At 37.8% G+C, this 11,016-nt stretch overlaps 1 annotated feature.

Moving 5' to 3' along the window:
- Positions 1,160–1,687: an enhancer, noted in NCBI's record as "NANOG hESC enhancer chr5:42225166-42225693 (GRCh37/hg19 assembly coordinates)". NCBI's record gives its function as "activates a minimal SCP1, AML or CMV promoter by ChIP-STARR-seq in naive H9 embryonic stem cells {active_cell/tissue: H9 hESC(naive)}" and the evidence as "EXISTENCE:reporter gene assay evidence [ECO:0000049][PMID:30033119]".

Here is an 11,016-nt window from a genome sequence, read left to right as displayed (position 1 = left end):
CATAAAATAAGTTCTTAGATACCTTCAAAGAGACTTAGATAACCATGCAATAATAGTGGGAGTATTTAACACCCCACTGACAATATAAAACAGATTATCAAAGCAGAAAACTAATGAAGATATTCGAGACCTGAACTCGACATTTGACCAAATGAAACTAACAGATATCTACAGAACTCCACACCCAAAAACAGCAGAATATACATTATTCTCATCTGCACATGGCACACACTTTAAAATCAACCGTATGATCAGCTATAAAAGAATTCTTGGGAAGAAAAAATCACACCAACCACATTTTCAGACCAATAAAATGTGCGATAAAAATAGAAATCAATACTAGGAAGATCACCCAAAACCATACAATTACATGGAAATTAAACAATGTGCTCTTCAATAACTTTTGGGTAAACAATGAAATTAAGGCAGAAGTCAAGATTTTTTTAAACTAATATAAACAAAGATACAATATACCAGAATCTCTGTGACACAGCTAAAGCAGTGTTAATAGGAAAGTTTACAATGCTAAATGCCCAAATCAAAAAGTCAGAAAGATCTCAAGTTAAGAACCTGACATCACAGCAAGAGGAACTAGAGAAAAAACAAACCAACCCCAGAGCTAGCAGAAGACAAGAAATAACCAAAATCAGAGCCAAACTGAAGGAAATCAAGATGTGAAACAACATACAAAAGATTAACAAAATCAGAAATTGATTATTTGAAAGAACAAATAAGATAGATGGCTTGCTAGATACACTAATTTAAAAAGAAGATCCAAATAAATGCAATCAGAGATGACAAAAGGGGACATTACCACAGACCCCAAAGAAATACAAAAAATCATCAGAAACTATTATGAACACTTCTGTGCATACAAACTGGAAAACTTACAAGCAATGGATAAATTCCTGAAAACATACAACCCCCCAATACTGGAACAGGAAGAAATTCAGTGAACAGACCAATAATAAGTTCTGAAGTTGAATCAGTAATAAAAAGCTAAAAAGCCTACCAACCAGAAAAATCCCAGGTCCAGATGGATTTACAGCTGAATTCTACCACATGAATAAGGGAAAGCTGGTACTATTCTTACTGAAACTATTCCAAAAAATTGAGGAAGGTTTGACTCCCCCATAACCCATTTTATGAGGCCAGCATCATCCTGATACCAAAACCTGGCAAAAACACAACAAAAAAGGAAAACTTCAGGCCAATATCCTTGATGAATATAGATGCGAAATTCCTCAACAAAATACTAGCAAACCCAACCCAGTAGGACATCAAAAAGCTAATCCACTATGAGCAAGTAGGCTTTATCCCTAGGATGCAAGGTTGGATTAACATACACAAATCAATGTGTTATTTGTCACATATAAAGAGCTAAAAACAAAAACCACATTATAATCTCAATAGACGCAGAAAAGGCTTTTGATAGAATTCAGCATCTCTTCATGTAAAAAACCCTCAGTAAACTAGGCATTGAGGGAACATACCTCAAAACAAAAAGACCCATTTGTGACAAACCTACAGCCAACATCATACTGAATGGGAAAAAGCTAGAAGCATTTCCCTTGAGAACCACAACAAAACAAGCATGCTCACTTGCACCATGCCTATTCAATATAGTAAAGGAGGTCCTAGCCAGAACAATCGGGCAAGAGAAAGAAATAAAAGGCATCCAAATAGGAAGAGAAAAAAATCAAATTGTCTCTGTTTGCAGATGATATAATTTTATACCTAGAAAACGTGAATTCCATAGTACACAATGGAATACTGCACAGCTATAAAAAAGAATGAGATAATGTCTTTGCAGCAACATGGGTGGAGCTGAAGGCCATTATCCTAAGCGAACTAATGCAGGAACAGAAAACCAAACACTGCATGTTCTCACTCATAAGTGGGAGCTAAACATTGAGTACACGTGGACACAAAGAAGGGAACACAGAGATGCTGGGGCTAACTTGAGGGTGTAGGTTGGGAGAAGGGAAAGGAAAAAGAAACTACCTGTTGAGTACTGTGCTTATTACTTGGGTGATGAAATAATATGTACACTAAACCCCTGTGGCATGCAATTTATCTATAGAACCCACCTGTGCAGGTGCGTGTACCCCAAAACTAAAATAAAAGTTAAAATAATGTAAACAAAAATGTGAAAGGAATTTCTTCAAATATTCCTCTTTATAGAGTTTAGGATTCTGAATTATATTATTGTTTTAGGTACTTGAAAAAGTTAAAATCAACAATAAAGGCAAAAAAATAGAAAGAAACATAACTATGTATCAAATAGATAACTAAAAGTTAAAAAAGAATTAATCCTGTGTCACAAGCACATATGTATTAACATTTGTACCAGATATGACATTTGAATACAGAAGGTTATATAAAACCACAAATGAAAATAGAGTCTTTTATGTTTTTCATTCTCTTAGGTCAGGTTGTTCAGAAGCAGAGTGTGAGATGAGATTTTTGTGCCTGTTGCCTATTAAAAGGATACTCTCAGGAAAATTCTGTATGGGAATGAGGGAAGCAGGATAGTAAAGGAAAGCAAGTTAGTAAGGAGATGATTTCTGATACAGCTTAGCCACAGCTTGAACCCATGTGGCCATCTGAAGCATAAACTATACCACAGAATTTGCCCTGCCTAGACACATTGTAGGAGTTGCAGGGAGCCTGGGCTTTTATACACTGTATCCATCAGTGACTGGATACAGGCTATTTGAAGGGGAGGCATGTAACTCTCAGGTAACCTTGGAGAAATGGATCCAATTGTCCATGAGCAATCCTCCAGAAAAGACTGTTACCAGCAACACCTACAACAGCTGGATTTGGGGATGCAAACCAGTGAAAATGATTCCTGAGATCTCGGCGGGACTCCAACAGCCTCTGCAATACCCATATATAAGTATCTATGGGTTAAGGTCCTCCTACAATTTTGTTCTAAGGAAAGCATAGTGTGCAGTCTATCACAATCCAAATGCTATGATAATCATAATGATAATGATGAGAATGATAATGATGATGATTATTATACTGTGGGAACTTAAAATGTGTCATATTTTTCCCATAAGAGTTTTGCCTGTGTTAACTACTTTAATTCTTATACCAACCGTATGATGGAGATGCTATTATTATCCTTATTTTTACAGATGAAAAAACTGAGGCTCAGAGTGTGAAGTTGCACAGACAATAGCAGATGGAGATTTGAACCCAGCCAGTTCAGATGTTGGGCTATAACCTGAATTCCAACTGATTGAATTGAGATAACATCAGATGCAAAGGCAACTATCTCCAGAAAGGACATGAGGGAGGCAGGTGAGCTATCAGAGGCAATGGATGAGAAATCTATCCAGTGATACTCTATGCTGAGTACTGCTCAATCAAGTCAGAAGCAGAAGTTCAGAGTTCCACACAAAAGCCAGTATGAACAGGTCTTTGAAGAACAGAAGTAGGAGCAACAGAGGAAGGTGAAAAGAGAAAGAAGGTAATGAGAGGGTGAATCACACACATATATATAAGCATATGCCAGGAGATAGAGTGGGGCAGGAATTCTAAAGGGACTGGCAAGTAAACTGAGTCACTAGCCTGGGACTGCCTAAGGTTGTTATTGGGACACTTGTCTTGCTGTGACACCCAAATCATATTTTAGTTATTGTAATATATTTTTATTATATTAAATCCTCACCAACATATTACTCTTTTTTGCTAATTGAATGAATAAAAAAGGTAAATTCCACCTGATGACCTGGGAGTCTCACCTTAGCTGTTAGGAGGCATGAAACTAAATTTAGTTTTATGGGTGGCAACAATTTTATTCATGGATTCCAATAAAATATTATATCTATAAAAGGGTTGCATATGACACTTCTTTTTATCATTAATTGTTCTGCTTTAATATGGGTTTAACATTTTAAGTTTCTTAAAGTATGCATAGTATAAACTCCAAATAGCTATGTGGGAGAGATATAGATATTGTGTTATTTTATATCAAATCTTGGTGTAAGAATATATGACAAAGTAAAGCAATAGACATAAAACAAAATATTATTGGGTAAGAACATGTGATCGAGACAGTGGAATGATTTACATACTTAGAAAACCACACAGCCTATTAAAATGAGGCCAAGAGTGCCTAGGAAACTATTTCCTTGTATAGCAAAAGCAAAATGCTTGATATTAGGAAATAGGATGGTAGAAGTTCATACTGGTTGTGACAATTCCTATTATGTAACTTTTAATATAACCAGCTACTGTAAAAAATAAAAGGATAAGAGTAAATGCAAAGTAACCAATTAATTACATTAAATTCAACTTGACAATATTGGGACTCTGTCACTTAGTGCAGAAATTATGAACTCTAAAATATTCTCCTTGGAAATATGTGAAACATCAATGATATGCAACCTCAGCTAAGAGTGCTTGAAGTCTGGAAATTTCCAGATAATCTATATAGACCAATAAAGAAGGAAAATTATAATCTTTCCCAAATCTTAGCTAATCAAAATTTTCAGGGAATTACATGTGTTCTTTTTATATTTTTATATTAACTGAGTTTACAAGCTAGACTTGGTGGTGCATGCCTGTAATCCCAGCTACTTGGGAGGCTGAGGAAGGAGAATTGCTTGAACCTGGGAGGTGGAGGTTCTGGTGAGCCCAGATCACGCCATTGCACTCCAGCCTGGGCAACAGGAGTGAAACTTCATCAAAAAAAAAAAAAAAAAGAAAGAAAAGAAATGTTTTTTCTTGCTACAGGCACCTTTGTAAAACACTCAACACAATGCTTAGCCCACAATAAAAATGTTCTATTAATGTAAAATTACTATTACTATTGATATCATGATTGGTCCATCCATTGTAAAGTGAAATGCAGAAAGACTAAGTGATTGAAGACTTCTTTATATTTAACCCAAGTTATTTTTTCTATTATAAAGTTTTTTTCATATTTATTATATGAGTACAATTTTTAAAAAATACAAAGAAGAAAAGGGTAATCAATAGATAAATAAATAATAGATGGGCAACCTTTAGTTGTGTTTTAAGAAATTTAGGTTTTAAAATTTCTTCTTTCCTTAAAAGCATGCAAAACATTTCCACACATATTCATCATCCATCTGCACAACAGTTTGCTGTAATAATGGGCAGTTACTGTTCTCAGCGCATAGAAGGGAAAACATACAAAGGTTAAGTGACTTGCTTACTTGGCAAGAACAGAATTAGAACTTCTGTCACTTGGCATTTGACTCTTTCACCACGTGGCCTAAGACCATTTTTCTACTAAACATTATTACCTACAAGTCACTAATACATTTGTGAACATCAATCACCACTTAGATTGATTTAGGTCCTTAAAATGTGTGTGTGGTACCATTTCTTACCTCTTTGTCCTAACAGCTAAAAACCTTGATTAGCTGAAATGTGCTCTTAATTTCCCCTAAATTTCAAATTTTCACCCTTGATACTCTTTGAAGGTATTATTTAACTCTGAAAGAGAAATGAGACTAACCTAAAGGGTAGACACAGTCTTGCAAAGAAAATTACAAACCTAACACTCTACAAGAGAGATCAGCCAGCTCTCACTCATCTCCTGTTTGCAAATTAACACAAAGCTAGATTCTAATAGTAGTCATGGAAATGGGTACAGGTATTAGATTTAGGTTACATTTTGGAAGTAGAATTGGAAGAGAACTTGTAAAAGAAAGAAGGTAAATCCTAACTTCAGGCCTGGGCAGCAGGGTGAAATGTGCAGTCACTTCCTGAGATGAGGAAAATAGTAAGAGTAGGTTTAAGGAAAAGAAATAAAGAATTTGGCTTGGGAAATATTAAATTTAAGGGGAAATTTCATCCAAGTGGAGATATCATATAGACAGTTATACATCTTAGACTGAAAGAAGAGTGAGCAGAGTCAGAGATAGAAATATGAAAGTCAACTGGGTGTCAGAGAACTAGATGGGATCATTAGATAGAGTTCAGATTGAGATTTCTGAGGACTGAGAATTGGAAGCACTGAGTCAAGGGGATCCTATGGAGAGATGGTGGAGTCAGGGAAGCAGGAATACAGTGTAGTGTCTCAGAAGCCAAGGGATGAAAGCATTTAAAGATAAGTTCCCCAAATAACGATCAACTCTATCAAATGATACTAAGAATTCAAGTAAGATGACAGCCTTGCCTATTGGGTTTTGCAGCATTATATCTATTAATGATCCTGGAAAGTGATATTGCTGTTGGAAATGAAATTCTAATTGAAATCAGTCAAGAATATATGACAAATGAGAAATTGGGGACAGAGAATAAACAACCAATTCTAGTAGCTCTGCAAAAACAGTGGAGAAGAGAAAAAGGACAGTAGCTGGAGGAGCATGTGGGGTTCAGTGTTTTGGTTTTGTGGGTGTTTTTTGTTGTTGTTTAGTTAAATGTGTGTGTGTTTTTTTTTGTTGTTAAACATGACATATAGTGCAGCATGTTCATATGCTGTTGAGAATAATATAATAGAGAGAGAAAACTGATAGTATAGTGGTAAGGAGGAATAACTCTAGGAGCAAAGTCCTTGAGTAGAAGAGTAGCATCAAAGTGTACAAGTGATATATCAGTTACAATTAGAAGCATGAATAATTCAGCTACTAAAATATGAAAGAAGGCAGAGTACACCAGTATAGATACAGGTCGTTTTGTAAATTTTGGTGGGGAAAAATGAAGAAGGTCTCTTCTGTTTGTCATTATTTTATTAGTTAAATGAGAAGAAAGGGCATCAGAGTGAGTTGAATGAAAGGGAAGTTGTGGAAGAGATGTGAAATAGTGGTCTTGGAGAATGGGAGAATGAACTGACTAGAAGAAGTTGCAGTATTGCCAGATAGTGCTGGGAAATCATAGCATGGTTCTGTTCTTTCTTCCAACCACTTTCTCAGACATGGGCGCAGAAAAAGTGGACAGTTGGATTTAACCAAGGCTGTTGCTTGCCAATGAATATGGTGACAGGAGAGAAAGGCAGCAGAATTAGGAGTGCATGAAAAGGAGTAATTATAGTAAGATAAAGGGATCTAAACTGGATAAAGAGATAAATATATATTCATATTAATGAAAAAGTCAATAGTGAATGGATTGGAGATACCAGCTGGTTCAAGCATTGAAATTCTACAGTCTTTATTTCCCTTTCTCCAATGTTATTATTAGCTTCATAACACAAGTTTTCTTAGGAATGCGACCATCATATCATACTGTATTAAAATAATGACAGTCTACATTAAAATGATACTAATTTGGTAGAAACTCAGTTATACTGTTTTTAGACAAATATTTATAAACTTTCAGTTATGTTTTAAAAAACGTAAGGTCCAATAAAACCAGCATGACCAGTTTCCTTTGCTCAGTACCTAAATCTTTATTGACATCTGTCTGAAACTCTCTATCCAAATAAATCCCAAAGCACTTTGCAATCTTTTTTTCCATAGTGTTTCTCTTATTCATTCCCTTCCTGTCAGGTTCATCTCAGACCCATAAGCATACAATCTTCACCTAAAGGCTCTCCAGACTACGCTGACTTTCAAGATTAACCTTTGGACCCCCTTACACATGCTCCATTTGCAACCTAAATGTGTCTCAAACACAGCTAAATTGTCTTATTTTATGTCCTACTATAAACGTTCACATCTATGTAATACATTCAGCTTAATCTGAAATTCCCTGGGCTTTTACACTGCTTTATGTCTTTCCCTTTCCTTCCTGTTTTCATCCCATATTCCATCCTGTATCTGCCAAAACCTGCCCCTGGAAAATTCAGAGGTGTCCATTGTGCATTTGGTGAGCTGTGAGGGAGAGATCTTGAGAACCCTGGACACTAGGGAACCACAACTGGCTGGCAAAGTGTTTCTTTGGCAGCTGTGGTTTGGAAACACTTCACAGGCTGTTTCTTGTAAGCTGGGCAGAGATTGCTTTTTTAGAAAAGTCCCTCCTTGTCAACTGCTTGTTGGCTGGCCTCTGTGCAAATTAAAGCATGATCCTTCAGAAGAAGGCAGTAGAAATTTGTTAGGGAATCATTTATTAAATGAGAGAACAGTTATAATTTTGTGAATTCATATCTTGAAACCAACTTCCTTTTCTTCTTTCAAACATATGGGATGAATAAAGAAACAGGTTTAGTGATTAAGCTGAATTTACTTGCCATCTCCTCCTGCCTGCCGCCCACCCCGCAAAAAAAAAAACACCCATATTTTAAAGGGAAAAAAGGCCTTTGTTTATTTAGGCCATGGTGTTTTGACGGCATAGTTGGAATAGCTGATGATCTGGCTAAATCTCTCAGAAGTCTAAGGCAGAGTGAGACACAAATACATGAGATAACAAGTTACTTATATTTGGTAAAATATGCTGGAGTTGTTTTTTAGATCTATAGAATAAAGAATGTGATCAGATGTCAGGCCATGAACTCTTAGCCTAAACTAGAGGACACATACTGTAAAGGTCAAAGGAAGTATTAGGAAACCTGCTGATCTCCCAGGTTCTACACAAGAAACATTTATTTGTACTGTCTTTCTTTGGTGGGATAAAAGTGATGGGCAAAAAAAGACATAGTGCAAAGATATTGATGGGAGGCCTTTTCTGAATAAAAGATGTTTCTAAGAGGCTGCAAACTGGACACTGAGAAGTATGTCACTATTTCCTCCCACATGTTCACAAGAACCCAAGCAACAAAGCTGGTCCCCTCTTTGTTTCAGGTAAGGCAAGAGTCAGTGTGACTCAGGATAGAAACTCACCGATGGGAAAGTGAAAACAGACTAACTGAAAGGATTGCAAGATCTGAAGGAAGTCATATCAGGGCACATAAGGATGACAGAATAACCCACAGAATGTATACAGTTCACCACTTTCTAATTAGTGGTGATACAGACAGGAGAGAGGGAAATAATGGATAGAAGAGGGCGGTTCCCTGGCAAAGGCCTCACCCTCAAGCCTGGAAACCCTTGACCCTAAATAGGAACAGGCATTTCTGCTTTCACCCCCAAATGTAGCCTTTTGGCCTGCCATGCCCCCCAGCCTGTACCCATATAAACCCCAAACCCCAGGCTCCAAGAACAGAAGAGCAGATAAGCAGATGAGCAGAAGAGTAGAGGAGCAGAAGAGTGGTGCGGCAGACAAAAAGAGAAGAGAAGGAGCATCTGAACGTACAGACGAGTTTGGCTGGGGGTGGTCAGAGAGATCAACCGCGGGACAACTGAACTCCAGGGGAAAATCATCTTCCCACTCCATCCCGTTTCCAGCTTCCCCATCCATCCCGCTGGCAGCCATCTCCATCTGGCAATAAAATATCCACATTTACCATCCTTCAATTTGTCTGTGTGACCTGATTCTTCCTAGATGCTAGACAAGAACCCAGGTATCAAGAAGTCACTGAGCTGGTTAACACTTAAGCCGTCTGCGGACAGCAGAGCAAAAAGAGCACTGTAACATGCCCACTGGGGCTTTGGGTTGACTGTGGCCCACAGTCAACCACCCCTAGACACTACTGTGAGGCGGGAGCCCAGAAACGCCCACCCCAGCTCCTGCACCTGCCCGTCTGCATGCTCCCCCTCCCAAAAGGGGTTTGAGCATGCAGCAATCAAACAGATGAGCCACACCCCTGTCACATGTCCTGTGAGGGGAGTTATGAAAGTCTCCATTTCAGTAGTTTCAATACCATACAGGGTAAAGTGTCAGCCCAGTGACAATGGCATGATGTGGGCCTTGCCTTCTACAAAAATGGAAAGTTCTGCAAACTGAGCAATTTCTCCTCTCTTATATTTGGTAACTTTAGGAAGTAATGTTAATTAACATATTGTTAGAAAGTGCTCTAGTAGAAAGCAATCAGAAACCTGGAGCGAGTGTTTGTTTTGTTTTCTTATATTATTTTTAGAAAACTCTACCATAGACTAAATTCAACAAAAGTGATACCATAAATATAGGTGGGTACACACACACACAAACACACACATACATATACACACACACACATATGTCCTGTCTTTGTGCCAGTGCCATAGTCTTAATTACCATAGCTTTAGAGTAAATTTTCTTTTTCTTCTATTAAAAATTATTCAAGCTACTTTAGATATTTTGTACTGCCATATAAATTTTAGAGTCTACTTGTCAATTTTTACAAAATAAAAAGACTACTGGGATTTTGATTAGGATAATATTGAAACGATAGACTAATTTGTGAAAAGACGACAGCTTAACAATATTGGGTCATCCCACACATGAATATGCTATATCTCTACATTTATTTATGCTTTTTAAAATTTCTTGCAGCAAAGTTTCACAGCTTCTTGGAGAAGTGGAGCAAGATGATGGAATAGAAGGTTCCACTTATCTTCTCTGCCCCCGCTCTCAAGGACACCAATTTAACAACTATCTACACAAAAAAACACCTTTAGAAGAACCAAAAATCAGATAAGCCCTCATAGTACCTGGCTTTATCTCAACATCACTGAAAGAAGCACTGAAGAAATAGAAAAAACAGTTCTAAATTGTGGATCCCTCCCCTTCTTGCTCCCCGACCTTCCACAGCAGTGCAGCTGTGTAGTGCAGAGAGCCTCTCTGGGTGCAGGGGGAAGGAGAACACAGCAATTGTGAGGCACTAAACTCAGTGCTGTTCTGTTAAAGCAGAAAGGAAAACCAGATCAAACTCAGCTGATGCCCACCCAGAGAGGGAGCATTTAAACCAGCTCTGGCCAGAGGGAAATTGCCAATCCCAAAAAACCTCATCACCATGGGCTACAGTGCTCTGTGTCTCCAAATAAACTTGAAAGTCAGTCTAGACCATAGAGACTGCAACATTTAGACAGGTCCTAGTGCAGAACTAGGCTCAGAGACAGTAGTTTGTGGGGGCATGTGAACTACTGAGACACCAGCTGGGGTGGCTAAGGAAGTACTGACATCACCCTTCCTCCCCTAACCCAAGGCTGCACAGCTCACACCTCCATCCCTTCCTTTCACATGAGAAAGGAGGGAAGAGTGGGGAAGACTTGGATACCAGATTATCCACTTTGATAC

The sequence above is a fragment of the Homo sapiens genome, chromosome 5 (genome assembly GCF_000001405.40).
Source record: "Homo sapiens chromosome 5, GRCh38.p14 Primary Assembly".
Classification (NCBI taxonomy): domain Eukaryota; kingdom Metazoa; phylum Chordata; class Mammalia; order Primates; family Hominidae; genus Homo; species Homo sapiens.
This window is presented reverse-complemented; position numbering and strand designations above follow the sequence as displayed.